This window comes from Homo sapiens, chromosome X (assembly GCF_000001405.40).
Source record: "Homo sapiens chromosome X, GRCh38.p14 Primary Assembly".
Taxonomy (NCBI): Eukaryota; Metazoa; Chordata; class Mammalia; order Primates; family Hominidae; genus Homo; species Homo sapiens.
In genome coordinates, this window is record NC_000023.11 from 46,279,386 (window position 1) to 46,300,477 (window position 21,092).

At 38.6% G+C, this 21,092-nt stretch overlaps 1 pseudogene; it reads right to left on the reverse strand.

Annotated features, from left to right (window-relative positions):
- Positions 1 to 8,430: 8,430 nt before the first annotated feature.
- On the reverse strand, positions 8,431 to 9,821 carry ACTBP1 (ACTB pseudogene 1; annotated as a pseudogene).

Consider the following 21,092-nt stretch of genomic DNA (forward strand, 5'->3'; position numbering starts at 1 on the left):
AAGACCAAATTAAGAGCACACAGATTTCAGAAAAGGAAGTGGTCATTGGATTCTCTGAAGGGCTCACAGTATTAAAGTCACAGGAACAATGCTGAGATATTATCATGTTAAATTTTCCAAGTCAAATGGTGAAGAGATGGAGGTCGGGGGAGGAGTTTCAGCTTCACCATGGCAGCAAAAAGGTTTTCAGAAGCCTGCGTGAAGCAGTTCTCTCTCAGAACTAAATGTACAGAATGTAAAAGACAACCAGAATTGGTTGTAAATGTCATTTGTTGTGAGATGGAAAGTAATCTCAAGATTTTTCCCATATTTAACCCTTGGCATTTTTGTGAAAAAGAGTTGCTGCCTCCCAGTGCCCATGCAGTGAATGTTTTCAAACATACCACCTCTCATTGCATAAAATGAGGTTTGGATTATTTTATCCCTATTTCTTAACATCTACTTGAGGAGCTCAAGCATTTAATATATATTATCCTGCAATAAGTAAAAAATATTTTGAAGATACAAAATTGTGGCTCAGTAAAATTGAGTAGTTTGCTCAATGTCACACAAAAGGCTGAAGAAGAACCCAAATCTTTTGCTTCTTGATATAATGAATGGGATGCTGGATCCTATTCCCTTACTCTGTAAAGACAGAACATGATTTTCTAATTTGGTGTTGGTTATGTGCTTTTGTGGGCAGGAAGGAATGATGAATCATTTTAGACTAAGAGCTACTTCCGGTATTGTTAAGGTCAGCTGATTAGACATTTTAGTTTCACCTCCCACCATAATTATCTTTTGCCATGTAATATAACATAGTCATCGATTCTATGACTCAGACATATTTGGGGAGCCATTATTATGCCTACAGCGTACATCAATCAAAAATGGAGAAATATACAACTCAACAATAAAGTTTTAGACTTCAATATTGGGCTCTCAATAATTGATAGAATGATTAGACAGAAAATCAGCCAGGATATATAAGACTTCTGTGCCTTATATGTATTTCTATACATATATCAAACAACTTGACCTAACTAACATCTATATAACACTCCACCAAACAACATAATACACACATACATATTCTTGCTTTGTGCAAGACCAACTGAGATTTATCCCAGGAATGCAAAGTTAGTTTAAAGCCAAAATTCAATTATCATAATAGATACAGAACAGGCATTTCACAAAATTCAATACCTTTTTATGATAAAAACGCTCAACAAAGTTGTAGTAGAAGGGAACTTCCTCAATCTGAGAAAGGGCATCTATGAAACACCTACAGTTACCATCGTCATCCTATTTCATGGTGAAAGACTGAATGCTTTTCCCCCAAAATCAGAAACAAGGAAAGGGTGTCCATCTCACCAATTCTACTCCACATTGCACTGGAGGTCTGGCCAGTACATAATTAATCATGTAATTAAAAAGAAGTAGAAAGCATTCAGCTAGAACGGAAGAAGTAAAACTTCACAAATGATCTAATCCTGTTTATAGAAAATCCTAAGGAGCTCCTGAAACACTTATTAGAACTGATAAACAAGTTCAGCGAGGTTGCAAAAGACGATACCAATATATGAAGATCAATTGTATTTATAGATGTATATATAAAGAATGAACAATCCAAAAGTGAAATTAAGAAAATAATTCCATCCAAAAGATTACCAAAAAGAATAAAAATTTTGGAATACATTTAACAAAAGAATTGCAAGACATATGCAATGAAAATTATAAAACATTGTTGAGGGAAATTAAAGAAAATTTAAATAAATGGAGAAGGTCCATGTTCATGAATTGGAAAAATTCTTATTCTTAAAATGGCAATTATTCCAAATTAATCAGTAGATTCAGTGCAGTCCCCATCAAAATTCCATAAGCCTTTCTCTTTCTCTCAATTTCTCTCACAAAAATTCATGAGCTGATCCTAAAATTTGTATGAAAAACCAAAAGACACAGAAGAGCTAAAATGATTTTTTAATAGAAATGTCGTGGACTTTCACTTTGCAATTTTAAAAACTTACTATAAAGCTATAGCAATCAAGACAAATCAAAAAATAAACAATAAGAAATGTTGGCAAGGATGTGGATAAACAAGAACTTTCATTTCCAAAGTGGTGTAGCCACTTTGGAAAATGGTTTGGCAGTTTCTTTAAAAGTTAAGTATACTTTTCCCATACTACCTATCAATTCCACTCCTTGGTATCTATCCAAGCTAAATGAAAACATTTGTCCACACAAAAAACTCGTACACCAATATTCATAGCAGAAGCATCCATAAAAGCCAAAACACGGAAGCAAACCAAGTGTCCACTGATGAATGAATGGATAAACAAAATGTAGTATAGCCAAACAATAGAATATTTTTGGCAATAAAAAGAAATAAAGTAATGATACATGCCACAACATGGAAGAGTCTCAGAAACATACTATGTGTAAGAAGCCAGACACAAAAGACCACATATTGTATGATTCTTTTTATATGGAATGTCAAAAAAAGAAAAAGCAAATCTATAGAGACAGAAAGTAGATTAGTGGTTGCCTGGGACTGGAAGTAAGAATGGGAAATGACTAGAAATGGGCACAAGATTTCCTTTCAGGGCAATGAAAATATTCTAAAAGTGGGTGGTGGGAGTAATTGCACAACTCAGTACATTTACTAAAAATCATTGAATTGTGTACTTAAAGTGGATTAATTGTATGGCATATAAATTATATCTTAATAAGTTTAGTTAATAATTCTAATAGAAATCAAATTCTCCATTTAGGCACAGAACACACTTCAGTTACTTTAGAGTATTGGCTAGTGGTTGCTGCCCATAAGGCAAGGCCCTTAGAGGCATCTTTTTTATATAAAGGTAATAACTATAATAGCATTTCTTGAGTTCTTACTATAAGTCATACGCTATCTTAAGCACTTGAAATGCATTTGTTCTTTTAATGCTCATAATAAATTTATGAGTTAAGTAACTTGTTCAAAGTCACACAGGTGGCCAAACCAAGATTCAAGTGTATGTCTGCCTGACTCTAGTTTTTGCTCTATATTCTCACATTCTTGAGTTCTTACGTGAAACCAGAAAAAAGAAGAAAAAAATCACCACCTTTAAAGAGGTCTAGAAGACCTGATACCTGCTTAACAAAATGGCGTAATAGCAATTATGATCACAGACTTCAAGACAAAGAAAATGAATTAGTCTCTAATGCTGTGTAAAAAAGGATCACTGCAGACTTAGTGGCTTAAAACAACAATAAACATTTAATATCTTCCACAGTTTCCAGGCATCAAGAATCTGGGGACAGCTTGGCTCAATGGTTCCAGTTCTGGTTTCTCATGAGGTTGTACTCAAGATACCAGCCAGGGCTGCAGTCAAATAAAGGCTCAACTAGGGCTGGAGCATCTGCTTCCAAGGTGGCTCACTCACACGCCTAGGAGGTTGGTGCTGACTGTTGGTGGGAGGCCTTAGTTCCTCTCTCCATATGGTCCTCTCTACAGGGCTGTGTATGTGTCCCCATGACAAGGTTACTAGCTTCTTCCAGAGCAAACTGTCCAAGAGCCCAAGGTGGTAGCTAGGCTGTCTTTTATGATCTAACCTCAGAGGTCACACATCTGCAACGTCTTATTCAGTATAGGAAGGATCTACACAAGGACTTGAATGTCAAGAGGCAAGGATCATTACAGTCCTCCTTGGAGGTTGGCTGACACAGCAAATGTTTAGCTCACTCTGCTAGGGCTGGGAGAGCTGGAACTGTCAAGCATTTCATACCACATTTACCAGAGACATACACATGACAGTCCAAATAAAAAATACTCTAAAGTCATGGACAGCCACCTGTCTCTTTGGGCTGCAGCCCTGCTCTGCTCACTGCACATAGCAGTCCTAGTGGACTCAGATGGTAAATGGGGAGCCAAAAATGTGGCTTTTGGTGCCTCTACAGGCCCCTCATCCTGTCCATCTGATTTCCTATCCTGGACATATCTCTTTGCACATCCCACATCCCCTACTTCTTATCGAAATGGGCCTGGTCCTATATTTCATCTTCTTAAATCTTTCGTTTCATCTAGAGCTTGTAAAGCTCTAAGTCTGGAATACTAATTCAAGGTAGTGGGTTAGAAACTCATTTGGTGGCTGGGCGCGGTGGCTCACGCCTGTAATCCCAGCACTTTGGGAGGCCAAGGCGGGCAGATCACGAGGTCAGGAGATCGAGACCATCCTGGCTAACACGGTGAAACCCCGTCTCTACTAAAAATACAAAAAATTAGCTGGGCGTGGTGGCGGGCGCCTGTAGTCCCAGCTACTCGGGAGGCTGAGGCAGGAGAATGGCGTGAACCCGGGAGGCGGAGCTTGCAGTGAGCCGAGATCGCGCCACTGCACTCCAGCCTGGGCGACAGAGCCAGACTCCTGTCTCAAAAAAAAGGAACTCATTTGGTATAGTTGCACTCTAACTGCCTTCTAAAGCTTTAACCCCCCAAAATGGATGCATATGGGAGTTTTGTCATTTGCAGGCAGAGAGGAAGCATTTCTGTTTCTTTAAATCATATCAAGTTGACTCAAACCATAGATTCATGCATTTATTCATTCAATCAGTCAGCCAACCAGCATTTATTGAGTGCCTACTATGTACCAGGCACTTTCCTAGGTACTATATAAAACTCATCTTGCATACTATGAATGAATGGCAGCAAAACATGTTATAGGTTCCACAGCTGCAGAGTGTAGAAAGATCAAATGTAGCGCTCCTTCCTAAGGTTCCAAGGGAAGATACAGAGTCATCTTCAAGTAGAGCACTCTATGATATGCATACATTACTACTGGAAAGGTACATTTGTTAGCATCTCAGCCATACCTAGGAAAATCTTGTCAGCCAAAAAAAAAAAAAAAATCAAATTAGTTCCTCTGAGTGCAGCTTTTTAAAAGTACATTTAAAATACCACCCCCATGAAAACTTCAAAAGGTACATTTATGAACCCTATGAATATGAAAATATAATTCCCATCTAAGAGTTGATATTGTGCTTAAAATAAGGCAGCTAACAAATGTTGCCTCCTGAATAATTAGATATTACAAGTGCTAAGAGCTGTCAGGACAGGGTACCATAGTTATAGAAACCAGATAATTAAAATTGTCTTAGATTCCTCAGCAACTTGTCTTTTCCTCATTAACAAAGAGAAGTAGAGGAACAGATCATTTATACAATCAACAAAAGCTCCTTAATGCTCACTCTGTACAGTAACTAACTGTGCTGGAATTTGGAAAGCAGAGGTGGACAAAAAGACAGAGTCCAACGTCACTGAGCTTAAAATGCAGTAGGAAGGCATGAATCAAATAAATATTTCAGAAATGTATTCACAAGGGCAATGAGTGTAAGAAGGAAAAGATGGTCCAAAAATAATTTATGCTACCATGCACTTCAAAAACAACATTTTATGACCAAGACTGTGCTCCTATTTTAGCATACAGGGAAGCAGTATAACATATTCATCTTGGAAAGTAAGTTCTAAAGTCTCACTACTTGAGTTCCAATTCCAGCTCCACCACTTAGAAGCTGCAAGACCTTGGGTAGTCTAAATGCTCTCTCTAAGCTCCAGTTTCCTCATCTGAAAATAAAGCCTTCTTTAAGGTGCCCTTGTGATAATTGAGATGATATCTGTCAAATCATACTGCCCGACATACAACGAATATCTATAATTTTATTAACCATGGCTTATTTAAGGTAATATTAAAATTACTTTCCATTCCTTGAAGAAACATTAGCATTATAAAAGAAGGTTTGGGTTTATATTTTCTCCACGTATTTATTCAACCGTTTATTTATATCTTTGACATTTTTCTTGCCAAAGCTAAGGAGAATATAGAATACCACTTTATTTTTGTTGTTGTTTTGTTTTTAAAATGTATTTATTTTTAAATTGACATATAAAATTGTATGTATTTATCATGTAGAAAATAATGTTTCAAAGTACATATACATTGTAAAATGGTTAACTCTAATCTAGCTAATTAATAAATGCATTACCTCACATAGTTGTCATTTTGTGGTAAGAACACTTAACATCTACTCTCTTAGCATTTTTCAAAAATATAATATATCATTATTAATTATAGTCACCATACTATACAATAGATCTCTTGAACTTATTCCTCCTAGCTAATAGTAATTATGTATACTTTCACCAACATCTCCCGAACTCCCCTCCCCGCAACCACCCTAGCTTCTGGTAGCTGCCATTCTTCTTTTTAATTCTATGAGATCAACTTTTTTAGATTCCACATATGAGTGAGAATATGTGGTATTTGTCTTGCTATGCCTGGCTTATTTCACTTAACATAATGTCTTCCAGGATCATCCATTTTGCTGCAAACAACAGAATTTCCTTCTTTTTTGTAACTGAACAGTATTCCACTGTGTATATGTACCACGTTTTCTTTATTCATTCATTCATTGATGGACTCTTAGGTTGACTTAACATCATGGCTATTATAAACAGTGCTGCAATCAACATGGGGGCACAGATATCTCTACAACATACTGATTTTATTTCCTTTGGATATACACCCAGTAGTGGGATTGCTGGACCCTATGGTAGTTGTATTTTTAATTTCTTCAGAAACCCCCATAATGTTTTCCAAAATGGTTGTACGAATTTATATTCCCACCAAGAGCATGCAAGGGTTTCTTTTTCTCCACATCCTTTCTAAAAGTTGTCCTTTTGAAAATAGCCACTCTAACGGGTGTGAGCTTATCTCATTGTGGATTTGATTTTCATTTTCCTGATGATTAGTGATGTTGAGCATTTTTTCATATACCTGTTGGTCATTTGTATGTTTTCTTTTGAAAAATGCGTATTTAAGTGATATGGTTTGGCTGTGTCCCCACCCAAATCTCATCTTGTAGTTCCCATAATCCCCATGTGTTGTGGGAGGGACCTGGTGGGAGGTAATTGAATCATGGGGGCGATTACCCCCATGCTGTTCTCGTGATAGTGAGTTCTCACGAGATCTGATGATTTTATAAGGGGCTTTTTCACTTTTGCTCAGCACATCTCCTTCCTGCTGCCCTGTGAAGAAGGTGCCTTTCTTCCCCTTTGCCTTCTGCCATGATGGTAAGCTTCCTGAGGCCTTTCCAGCCATGCATAACTTGAGTCAATTAAACCTCTTTTCTTTATAAATTACCCAGTCTTGGGTATTTCTTCATGGCAGTGTGAGAATGGACTAATACATTAGGTCTTTTGCTCATTTTAAAAATCAGATTTCTTGTATTTTCGCTATTGATTTGTTAGAGTTCCCTACAATTTTGGTTATTAACCCCTTATAAGATGTATGGTTTGCAAATATTTTCCCCGTTCTTTAGGTTGTATCTTCTGTAAATCAAAAAGTATCTGAGACAGGTCTCAATCAATTTAGAGGTTTATTTTGCCAAGATTAAGGATCATGGCCCATGACACAGCTTCAGGGGGTCCTGAGAATATGTGCCCAAGATGGTAGGATTATAAGGTGATTTTATACATTTTGGGGAGACAGAAGTCATAGGCAAAGACATAAATCAATATAGGCAAGGTATACATTGGTTCTGCCCACAAAGGTGGGACATCTCAAAGCAGGGGATCTTCTAGGTCATAGGTACATTCAAAGGTTTTCCTGATTAGCAAATTGGTTGAAGGAGTTAATCTCTGCCTGAAGAGTTAAAGTCAACTTGACTTAAGGTAAGGAGGTGGTTGTGGAATCCAAGATTCTTGTGATATAGATGAAGGTTCCAGGTAGCAGGCTACAGAAAGAATAGGTGGTGAATGTTTCTTATTGGACCTTAAAAGGTGTCAGACTCTTAGTTAATTCTCTCCTGGAACAGGAAAAGACCTGGAAAGGGAAGGGCATTCTCTACAGAATGTAGATTTCCCCCACAAGAGATGGTTTTGCAGGGCCATTTCAAAATATGTCAAAGAAACATATTTTAGGATAGAATACTTTGATTTCCTTTAGGGCCTGTTATCTGTCATGTGATGTTATACCAGAGTAAGGTTGGAGTTAGTATCTTTTTTTTTTTTTAAGGTGTGCTCTTTTATTCAACTGGTCTCAAGTCAGTGTACAGGTAAGCCCTGGCTGCCTCCACACCTCCACCCACTCCCAGAAAGACCAAAAACCTTCATACACGTCAAGTTGAGGGGCAAAAAAGGGGGATCACAATGGCTGATCATTCAAAATAAAACAAAATTTAAAAAGTATTAAGGTGAAGATTAAACATTTTTTGCATTACATAATTTATATGAAAGCAATGCTATCACCTCCCCTGTGTGGAGAGGACTGGGGCATTCTCCTTAGAGAGAAGTGGGGTGGCTTTTGGGAGGGCAAGGGACTTCCTGTAACAATGCATCTCATGATATTTGGAATGACTATTTAAAAAAAGAACAATGTACAATCAAAGTCCTTGGCCACATTGTAGAACTTTGAGGGGTGCTCACTCCAACTGACTGCTGTCGCCTCCACCTTTCCAGTTTTCAAATCCTGAGTCAAGCTAAACAACAACAACAACAACAACAAATAATAATAATAATAATAATAATAGTAAGGCCACACCAATCTCATCTTGTTTTCTGGCAAGTTGGGTTTTTGTCAAGAATGGGTGTAATGCAACTAAGTAACAGTCCGCCTAGAAGCACTTGCTGTGGGTGATGAAGGGGCCGGCCTCTTGGTATTTTTGCTTGCTGATCCACATCTGCTGGGAGGTGGACAGGGAGGCCAGGATGGAGCCATCGAAACACACAGAGTATTTATGCACAGGAGGAGCAATGATCTTGATCTTTACTGTGCTGGAAGTCAGGACAGTGATCTCCTTCTGCATCCTGTCGGCAATGCCAGGGTACATGGTAGTGCCGCCAGACAGCACTGTATTGGCGTACAGGTCTTTGCAGATGTCCACATCACACTTCATGATGGAGGTGAAGGTAGTTTCGTGGATGCCATAGGATTCCATGCCCAGGAAGGAAGGCTGGAAGAGGTACTGGGGCAGTGGAACCACTGGTTGCTGATGGTGATGACCTGGCCGTTGAGCAGCTCCTAGCTCTTCTCCAGGGAGGAGCTAGAGGCTGCAGTGGCCATCTCCTGCTCGAAGTCCAGGGTGATGTAGCACAGCTTCTCCTTGATGTCAAGCATGATTTCCCGCTCAGCAGTGGTGGTGAAGCTGTAGCCGCCCTCCTTGAGGATCTTCATGAAGTAGTCAGTCAGGTCCTGGCCAGCCAGGTCCAGAGGCAAGATGGCATGGGGGAGGGTGTACCCCTCATAGATGGGCATAGTGTGGGTGATCCCATCGCTAGAGTCCATCACGATGCCAGTGGTACTGCCAGAGGCATACCAGCTTGGATGGTCAAGTACATGGCTGGGGCATTGAAAGTCTCAAACATGATCTGGGTCATCTTCTCATGGTTGGCCTTGGGGCTCAGGGGGGCCTCGGTCAGCAGCATGGGGTGCTCCTCGGGAGCCGCACATAGCTTGTTGTAAAAGTTATGGTGCCAGATCTCCATGTCATCCCATTTGGTGACAATGCTGTGCTCCATGGGGCATTTCAGGGTGGGGTCAGGATGCCTCTCTTGCTCTGGACCTCATCGCTCATGTAGGAGTCCTTCTGACCCATGCCCAGCATCACGCCCTGGTGCCACGGGCACCACATGATGGAGGGGAAGACAACTGGGGGGCATCATCGCCCATGAAGGCAGCCTTGCACATGCCAGAGCCTTTGTTGAAGACGAGAGCAGTGATATCATCATTCATGGTGATCTGGCAGTGGGTGTGGACTGGTGATGGAGTGGGGAGGGTGAGGCTCTGTGCCCGCCAGGAAGATGCAGTCTCCACAGTCTGGAGTTGTTATCTTATTGCTACAAAGAATTTCTTCTGTCACTCTTAGGATCTCTATTTTAATAGTAATGCTGAGTTGTGTCTAAACTCCAAAAGGAAGAGGGTATAATGAGGCATGTCTGACCCCAGTCTCCTTCCTGTCATGGCTTGAACTAGTTTTTGAGGTTTCTTTGGGATCCTCTTGGCTGAGAGGGAGATCCACTTACTCAGTTGGGGGGCTTAGAACTTTAATTTTAGTTTACACTTCAGTCTGTCAATTATTTCCTTTGCTGTGCAGAAACTTTTCCATTTGATGTAATCCCATTTGTCTATTTTTGCTTTTGTTACCTGTGCTTTGAGGTCATGTTAAAAAAAAAAAGAGAAAAAGAAAAAAAAGAAAATTCATTGCCCAGACAAATGTCTTAAAGCTTTTCTCCTGTTTTTGCTTCTAGAAGTTTCATAGTTTGGGGTCTAACATTTAAGTCGTTAACCGTTTTTGTGAGTGGTTTTTATACAGTGAGAGATAAAGGTCTAATTTCATTTTTCTGCATGTGTCTATCCAGTTTTCCCAACACTATTTGTTGAAGAGACTGTCCTTTCCCTATTGTATGTTCTTGGCACCTTCATTAAAAATCAGTTTGCTATAAACGTGTGGATTTATTTCTGGGTTCTCTTTTCTGTTCCATTGGTCTACGTGTCTGTCTTTATGCCAGTATCATGCTGTTTTGATTACTATAGCTCTGTAGCACATTTTGAAGTCAGATAGTGTGATGCCTCCAGCTTTGCATTGTTTTTCTGTGTTTTGTTTTTGTTTTTTTTGCTCCAAATTTCTTTGGCTATTCAAGGTCTTGGATGGTTCCATACAAACTTTAGTATTTTTTTCTATTTCTGTGAAGAATGTCATTGGTATTTTGATGGGAATTGTATTGAATCTGTAGATTGCTTTGGGTAGTATGGGCATTTTAACAATTTTAATTCTTACAATCCATGAACACAGGATACCTTTCCATCCTTTTTATATCTTCTTCAATTTTTTTTCAGCAATGTTTTCTAGTTTTCAGTGTAGAGATCTTTCATCTCCTTGGTTAAATTTATTCCTAAGTATTTTAATTTTTGTAAATATTATAAATGGAATTTTTATTTATTTTTCTGATAGTTTGCTATAAACGTATAAAAATGCTACTGAATTTTGCATGTTGATTTTCTATCCTACAACTTTATTAAATGTGTTTATTAGTTCTAACATTTTTTGATGGAATCTTCAGGGTTTTCAGTATTTAAGATTGTGTCATGTGCAAACAGGGACAATTTAACTTCCTCCTTTCCAATTTGGATGCCTTTTATTTGTTTATCTTAGCTAATTGCTCTGGCTAGGACATCCAGTACTATGTTGACTATAAGTGGTGAGAGTAGGCATCTTTGTGTTGTTCCAAATCTTGAAAAGCTTTCAACTTTTCCCACTTTTAGTGTATTAGCTGTGGATTTATAATATATAGCCTATATTGTGTTGAGGTACATTCCCTCTGTACTTAATTTGTTGAGGGTTTTTATCATAAAGAGATGTTGAATTTTGTCAAATGCTTTTTCTGCATCTATTGACATGATCATATGGTTTTTTCCTTCATTGTATTAATGTGATGTATCACCTTTACTGATTTACATATGTTGAACCATTCTTGCATCCCTGGGATAAATTTCATTTGCTCATGGTGGATAATCTTTTTAATATGCTGTTGAATTTAATATTTTATTAAAGATTTTCAAATATCTATTCATCAGGGATATTGGCCTGTAGTTTTCTTTTTTGGTTGTGTCCTCATCTGGTTTTAGTATTGTGGTAATGCTGGCCTTGTAAAATTAGTTTGGAGGTATCAGTTTGTTCTCACATTGCTATAAAGAAATACCTGAGACTGGGTAATTTATAAAGAAAAGAGATTTAATTGGCTCACAGTTCCACAGACTGTACAGGAAGCATTATGCTGGCATCTACTCAGCTTCTGGGGAGGCCTCAGGAAACTTACAATTATGGCAGAAGGCAGAGGGGAGCACACATATCACATGGCTGGAGTAGGAGCAAGAGAGAGAGGGGAAAGGTGCTACACACTTTTAAACAGCCAGAGCTCACAAGAACTCACTCACTATCACAAGAACAGCACCAAGTGGATGTAACAAACCATACATGAGAAATCTGCCTCTGTGATGTAGTCACCTCCCACCAAACACCAACTTCAACATTAGGGATTACAATTTGACATGAGATTTGGACAGAGACACAGATCCAAACCATATCACCCCTCTTCAATTTTTTGGAAGAGTTTGAGACTTCAAGTTACTGTTTCTTTAAACGTTTGGCAGGATTCAGCTGTGAAGTCATCATGTCCTGGGCTTCTCTTTGATCGGAAACTATTTGTTACTGAGTCAATCTCCTTATTCATAATTAGTCTATTTAGATTTTGTATTTCTTCATACTTCAATCTTGATAAGTTGTATGTGTCCGGGAATTTACCTGTTTTCTAGGTTATCCAATTTGTTGGCATATAATTCTTCATAATAATTTCTTATGATCTTTTGTTTCTATGGTATCAGTTGTAATGTCTCCTTTTGTGCCTCTAATCTTATTTGAGTCTTCTCTCTTTTTTTCTTAGTCTAGCTAAAGGTTTGTCAATTTTATCTTTTCTTTTCCTTTTTTTTTTTTTTTTTTTGAGACAAAGTGTCACTCCTGTAGCCCAGGCTGGAGTGCAATGGCACAATCTCAGCTCACTGCAACCTCCGCCTCCAGGGTTCAAGCAATTCTCCTCCTGTCTCAGCCTCCTGAGTAACTGGGATTACAGGCACCTGCCACCACGCCTGGCTAATTTTTGTATTTTTAGTAGAGACGTGGTTTCACCATGTTGGCAGGCTAGTCTCGAACTCCTGACCTCAGGTGATCCACCTGCCTTGGCCTCCCAAAGTGCTGGAATTACAGACGTGAGCCACTGCCCCCAGCCTTGTTTATCTTTTAAAAACAGCAACTCTTTGTTCCATTTATCTTTTCTATTGTTTTTCTAGTTTCTATTTCATTTATTCCTGCTCTGATCTTTATTATTTCCTTCCTTCTACTAATTTTGGGCTTAGTTTCTTCTTGTCTTTCCAGTTCCTTGAGGTTCAAGGTTAGGTTATTTATTTGAGATCTTTCTTCTTTCTTAATATAGGTGTTTATTGTTATAAACTTCTTTCTTAGAACTGCTTTTGCTGTATCCCATAAGTTTTGGTATGTTGTGTTTTCATTTTCATTTATCTCAAGAAAAGTTTTAATTTCCCTTTTAATTTCTTCATTGACCCATTGGTTGTTCAAAGCATCTCTTCCCAGGTGCTGCATTTTGTCAGCTGGACCTTAAGAAGCACTGTTTGTCCCCCCAAGTAATATATAGACCCTTGTGAGAAAACCTCCTTTAGTTTCTAATTAGAATCCCCCTCTGCTCATGGGCCTCGGACTTTGTCCCTGGCAACAAACTGGAGAGAAAACCATGTTTTCCTCCTGCATCACATGCTGATCTTGTCCCACCCATAGCTTGTCAGCCCTTGCCAACTGCCAACATCTGCATCTCTTTGCCTGAGATTTCTTCAGTAGCCTGTCTTCCCTGCTTATGGACAAGTTTCTTGCATACCAATGACCCACAAGTGTAGATGTAGATAACTCCGCTGCTTGTGTTCTACATTGGCTTCTAGAGTTCCCCAATATAATGGAGCTCTAATTAACCATGGTGGTAACTAGCTTGATAAAGCACCATTTATTGGCTCTCTTCTTACCTGTCTCACTCCTCCACTCTCTTGTCGGTATTTCTTAGGATTATCTCCCAAATAAACTATTTGCACTAAAATCTTTGTCTTAGGACCTACTCCTTGGAAAACCTACACTAAGTTGCCTTCTCATCTCTCAGTCTTTCTCTCCAGGAACAAAGAGCACAGGCCCACATCCCCCATGTAAAATCAACACATGCCAACAGATGCTTGAGGAACTACCAGTTCCTCAGTCATAATCAGGCTTTGAATGCAACTCAGCCCCTCTGCTACAAATATAAGTATCCTCCCATACACAGAGGTCCTCTTCCTCTATCCAGAATTTTGCCTGGGTTGGGTGTCCCGTCTATACACTTCTCAGGTTCCTGTAATTCCTCAATTGTCATAATGGCAATATTGTATTATATTAACATGTTTTATTAACCATTGATGGCATCACACTCTAAGATCTGTGAGGGCAAAGACCATGTCTGTCTTGTTTACCATTTATACTTATTATGTATGATAGTGTATGGTGCAGAGTCAATCCTCAATAAGCATATGTTAATTTCATGTAAATTTCCAGGGAATGATAAAAGCCTGACACCTCAGATAGCCTAAAATCATGGGAAAGGAGTAAAGTCATTAATAATACCACTTGTGGAATGTCAGCAATATACCTGGCCCTATGTTAAGTAATTTACAAGCATTATTGTATTGGTTACTCATATTAACCCTATGAGATAAGTTCCACTATTCTCATTTTAGAGTTGAGGAATCAGAAATGAAGTTCGCCCCTGCCAGAGATACACTTCTAAGTAGCAAAACTGGAATTAAACTCAGATCTTTCTGATTCCAAGAGTGAGCTTATTAAGCGCTAGACTGTGTTGAGAATCTCACAAGACTGTTCTGCTTTAAGCACCACCACAGGCAAAGCACTATTTATTGATAATAGCGATAGTGTAATGACCATTAAAATGAGTACAGTGGGCTGAATGGTGGTCCTCAGATGATATGTCCATGTCCTAATTTTCAGAATCTGTGAATGTTATCTTATTTGAAAAAGGGATTTTTGCAGATATAATTAAATTAAGGATCTTGAGATGTGAAGCTCATCCTTGATTATCTGAGTAGGCTCTAAATCCAATGACAAGTAGCCTTATAAGCAACACAAAGAGGAGGAAGACAGAAAAGACGGCATTGTGACCACAGAACCGGAGATTGGAATGATGCAGCCACAAACCAAGGAATGCCTGGAGCCACCAGAAGCTGGAAGAGGCAAGGAACAGATTCTCCACTAGAGACTTCTGAGAGAGTGTGGACCTGACAAGAACTTGATGTCAGACTTCTGGCCTCCAGAACTGTGAGACAATAAATTTATGTTGCTTTAAGCCACCAAGTATGTGGTAATTTATCCACTTAAGTCCAATACCTTATGCCTGGGTTATGTGGCATTCTACTGACTCTGGCCAGACCAGATATTTCTCTGGCCAGCCCACAGCATAATTGTGTGGCAAGCTGGAATGCTAGGCTGTCAATGGAAATCTCTGAATGTCTACAATATGTCTCTCTCTAGTGCAGGAGATCACAGGGTCATGAAACTTAAGAGATGATAGGGATCTTGAAGAGCATGTGGTTTGACCTCTCCCCTAGGCAGGAATTCTGTTTTCCAGAGTTACTAGTAGTTGGCCAATCAGCCTCTTTTTGAACACTTCCCCAATGAGTAGTGTACCCCTCTCATACCATATCCCTCTTCATTTATGGACAACTTTCACTGGAGAGTTCTTGATATCGCTGAGCCCTAATTTTCCCATTACATTTTCCATCCAGTTACCAAAATTCTATCTTGAAGACCCATAAAAGTAAGTCCTAATTCTTCTTTCATATTAACAATTTCTCAAGTTATTGAAAATACCTGTTATGTTCCTCAACTATCTAGCAACTAGCCCCGTTCCACTTACCATTACTCAGGTGAAGTCATTTTTAAACCTCTCATCATATAATATTCTTCTCATTTATTCATACAATTTAAAATATGGCACTGAAGGCTGGGCATGGTGGCTCATGCCTGTAATCCCAGAACTTTGGGAAGCCAAGTCAGGAGGATTACTTGAGCCCAGGAGTTTCAGACTAGCCTGGGAAATATAGTGAGACCTTGCCTCTACAAAAAATTTTAAAAATTAGCCAGGCATAGTGGCATGCATCTGTAGTCCCTGCTATTTGGGAGGCTAAGGTGGGAGGATCGCTTGAACCCAGGAGGTTGAGGCTGCAGTGAGCTATGATCACATTACTGCACTCCAGCCTGGGCAACAGAGCAAGATCCTGTCTCAAAAACATATATGTAGAGAGCATTGAGAACAGAACACAATCTACACATAACTCAAGCAGGGGAGAGTGGGACCATTACCTTCCTTATTTTAGGTTTAATTCGTGCATCCTAAGACTGCATTCACATTACAGATAATGGTGTCATATGATTGACTCATTCCCACCTTCCTGGCAGCTGAAATCTAAGAGTTTTACAGAATTTCTGTTAAACCTAATTGATTTTGGAATCTATAGGAAGTGTTTTTTTATTCACTTCTGGAATTGCCTCTTGTTTGTTTCAGCTAATTTTTCCAGGCTGTCACAATACTTTTAATGCTAATTTATCATCTGGTATATTAGCTTGCTTTGGCTGACTCTCATTCCCATGCTCCTCATACCTGGAACCTAACACTCTGTCTCCAGGCTCTGGTTTAAACCCTTCCTTGCTGGACTCTTAGAACATGCTCACACACTCCTATTATAAGCCATTTCTCCTTACCTTTGACTCTTCTCAAATCATAACAACCAATTTCTGGGCCAGGGCTCCAATCTCTAAAATATCTTCCTGCTCTGATCTTCTTTCATTCTATTATGTCAGAAACTCACAAGTACTCAAACCTATTGAAACATAATAGGATGCATGTAAGTGCAAGGGGCAGCTAGCACCTTATGAGACCCAGAAAGACAACCGACATTTGATAAATGGCATCAAAGAAGTATGCTGGGTGTGACCCTGGGAAATTACAGCAACTTTAAGAAGGTTCACAGCAAGGCTTTGGCAACCTTTTTGGATTCTATTCTCTGAGCTGCAGGTATGAACTTGAAGAACCTAAAAGCAGCTCTCATAGGCCTAGTGGACTAGTTCCAAAGTGATAGGGGCATCATCATCTGACATTATCAAAACTGACTCAGCAAGAAGGGTCCAGAGTTCAGTAAGGTTGATGGGCATAACAAATAGTATCTTGTCAACACTTTGCAGTTGCTCTTTTTTAAACTAAAAAGCATGTTGATAAGAGAGGTGAATGGGAGTGGCAGGGAGATATCACATGCTTGGAAGAAAAGAAATCCTGTTTCATGCCACCATTTCTGATTATTTTTCTCCATTTCATTTCTGAAAAAAAAGTGTGAAAGGAATACTTCGTGGTGGTGAAGAGATAATGTAAGAAAAATAGAGGAAAAAAACTACTATTTAAAAGCTGCTGTATTGTTATTTTCCAGATTTTTACGTTACTTATGCTATTGAGATGCTGTCCATTTTAAAAGTATTTATGACAGATGATGGAATTGAACAGCTAAAAATAATAAAATTTAAGCAAGTCCCATCAACTCACACAATGATACTTTATACCTACATAGCACTTTACTGTTCTCAAAGCACTTTTTCATGCATTAAAACCTCACAACAACCTCATGGGATTACCATTATTATCACTGCTTCAAGATGATATTTAGTAAAGTGAAGAGATTCACCCAAGTTCATAAAAGTAGTGTGCAGAGACAAAACTTGGACTTGAACCAATATATTCCAAGCAGTATTCTTTACACCATGACACAGTTATCTTGAAAGAAAAAGAATGAATCGTTACTAGCATAGCTCCCTTAAAAAACTGCAATTATCTTTAGATTTCATAGCAAAGGCGTAGAGATTCTCTTCAGTTATACATATATGAAAATAAAACAATTCTTCTCCAAGTCTTCCATCCCAATTAGTCTCTCTCAGTCCACAAAGATGTCTCTAACTACTTTAATTTAACAATTCAACTTAACAAATATTTAGTGAATGCCGGCAATGAATAGGTGCTATGCTAGCACAGCAGAAATTCAGTTATCTTGGCTTTTAGAAATCTTACCAACTAGTAGAGAACACAGTTGTCTTAGATATCTATTGCAGCAAAACAGACTATCCCAAGATTTCGTGGTTTGAAAACAACCACTTATTGTTGCTCACGATTCCATAGGTTGGCTAGAATGCGCTGGACAGTGCTTCTTCTTCACTGCCATTCAGTGGTCCCAACACCAACATCAGGTTCAATGAGAAGGACTCACAGAACTCAGAAAGGCTGTTATATTCATGGTTAAAATTTATTACAGTGAAAGGATAGAGCAAAGTGCAGGAAAGACCAGGCATGAGCTTCTAGTTTTTCCTTCCCAGTGGAGTTTAGAATAAGGACAGCACTTAGTTTCTCCCAGAAATGATGTGTAGCAATATGCACGGAATTTTGCCAACCAGAGAAGCTAACTTGAGCTTTTCTGTCCAGAGTTTTTACTGGGGTTTGGTAATGTAGGCGTGGCTCCTACACAGCTGACCCTATTCTACAGCTCCTCCAAACTCAAGCTGATATACTACACAGCCCAAGGCCCCACCACAAATGACATTATTTGCAAAAAAAATCGAGTGTGGCCTGTAACACCCAGGTTAAATAATAAATAAAAACACTCTTTTCAATCAGGACCAAACTTTCTTTTGGCAAGGTTAATTCTTTGCTACATATCCACATAGTGTCTGCTGGGACTACAGACATTTGGAGACTTGATTAGACTGAAACATCCAAAATGGCTCACTCAGATGGTGACAGTTAGTGTTGGCTATTGGCTGGGAGCTCAGCTGGGGTTGTCAACTAGAACATCTTATACATGGCCTCTTCACATAACTTGGCTATCTCATAACATAGCAAGTGGATTATAAGAGGAAGCCTTCTAAGCATACAAAAAGAGAAGTTGCAGATCTCCTAAGGCCCATCCTTGGAATTTCCAGTGTCACTTATTCTGTATTCCACTGATCAAAACAAGTCACAGACTAGGCCAGATCAAGAGGAGGGGAAATAGTCTCCATCTCTTGGTAGGAGAAGTAAAACATAATTTACAGCCATATTTAATGCATGAAACAGCAGATACATATCTTTCTCAAGGGACAAAGTTCCCCAAACTACAGTGACACTGCCCTAAAGACTCACTGTGAATGCTTGTTGGAACAGCACAGCTGGAGAGAAGTCTGAATCCTACTCTGGGATTTCAGAACTGCAAACGAGTTGGAGCCAAGGACAGACCACATTGGTAGGCCATATAAGAGTGTATAAGAGGCATACACTCTGGGCCGGGCGTAGTGGCTCACGCCTGTAATCCCAGCACTTTGGGAGGCCAAGGTGGGTGGATCACGAGGTCAAGAGATCGAGACTATCCTGGCCAACATGGTGAAACACCGTCTCTACTAAAAATACAAAAATTAGCCAGGCGTGGTGGTGCACACCTGTAGTCCCAGCTACTTGGGAGGCTGAGGCAGGAGGATTGGTTTAACCTGGGAGGTGGAGGTTGCAGTGAGCCGAGATTACACCACTGCATCCCAGCCTGACGACAGAGCAAGACTCCGTCTAAAAAAAAAAAAAAAAAAAGACATACACTCTGTGTGACAAGCTGGAGGAGAGATTGTGAGTGCTTTGTAGTCTGCAGCTGCTGACTACAGTCAACGGAAGACAAATACATATATACATACATACGAATACATACATACTAAACAACCACATAAAAGCTGTCACTTTACCAATGTCCCTGATGACCCCAAGAAAGCTACTGTCTCTGTGCCCCTTTCCAGGACATAAACCAGTTGCTACAAACTTTACACATTTAAGGGTCTTACTTTTGCAAATCTGTACCACTGAACTGGCTTCACTAGTCCTAAATTTAGTTTTGGCCACATGAGGAAGGCCTTGAAAACCAACTGTACGTGTGACAGCTCCATGAGACAGGCATTTTCTGGACTCCTTTCAACCCTAAAAGAATTTGATAAAACAACAAAATGGTTCACCAAAATGACCAAGCAACCACAAGTTCAAGACACCATTTCCAGTTTGAGTTTAAGAGAAGATTTTTTTATGGCTTTAGTTAGTGATGCCCTACCTCATTAAAAAAGAGATCAAATTTTCAAAATAAATGAAGAGGATTTCTTAAACATCCTAACAATAGCGTGTTAAACATTGATATAACTGAAAGAAGAAACAGATAAATCCACAATTATAGTTGAAGTCTTCAACAATCCTCTCTCAATAACTGATAAAACAGGCAGACAAAATCAGTAAGTATATACATTATTTGAACAGCACTATCAAATAACTTAACCAAATAGACGTTTACAGAACACTCCATCCAACAAGAGCAGAATACACATTTTTCTTAAGTGCACAGGGAATATTCACTAAAATAGGCCACATTCTGAGACATACAACAAATCTTAATAAATTAAAAAGAATAGAAATTATACAAATAACATTTTTAGACCAACCATAACAAAATTAAGCTAGAAATCAATAACAGAAAACTATCTGGAAAATCACCAAATATTAATAAATTAAATAATACCCTTCTATGTAATCCATGGGTCAAAAGAAGAAGTCTAAAGGGAAATATTAAAATACTTTAAGCTGAAATAAAAATAAAAACACAACATATAAAGATTTGTGGTGCTACAACAGGGATGAATCTTAAAAATATTGTACTAAGTAAAATATGCCAGCATGAAAGGACAAATATTATATAATTCCACTTGTGTGAGGTACCTGGTATAGGCAAATTTACAGATACAGAAATTAGAACAGAGGTCAGCACATCTAAGGGTAGGAAGAAATGAGGAGTTTAATGGGGATAAGTTTCTGTCTGGGATGATGAAAAAGTTCTGGAAATGAGTGGTAATGGCTGTACAACATTGTGAATGTACTTAATGCCACTAAATTGCACACTTAAAAGTGGATAAAATGGTAAATTTTATGTTATGTACATTGTACCACAATTTTAAATGTATTAAAAAATTAGTGGGACCCTGATAAAATAGTCCTTAGAGGGAAATTTATAGCATAACATCAAATACAAATATTAGAAATGAAGAAATATCTAAAATCAATAGCCTAAGCTTATAATTTAGGAAACTAGGAAAAGAAGAGTAAATTAAATAAAGCAACCTGAAGGAAAGAAGTAATTAAAAAATAGAGAAAATCAATAAAGTTAAACCTGGCTCTTTTGAAAAGATGAATAAAATTGGTAAATCTTTAGACAGCCTAACCAAGAAAGTAAAAAAGAAAAGACACAAATTATCAATATCAGGAATAAGAGAGGGAGTTCACAGCCAATCACACAAACATTAAAAGCTTAATAAGGGAATACTATGAACATCACTATGACCATAAATTCAATAACTTAGATAAATTGGGTCATTTTCTTGAAAAACACAAA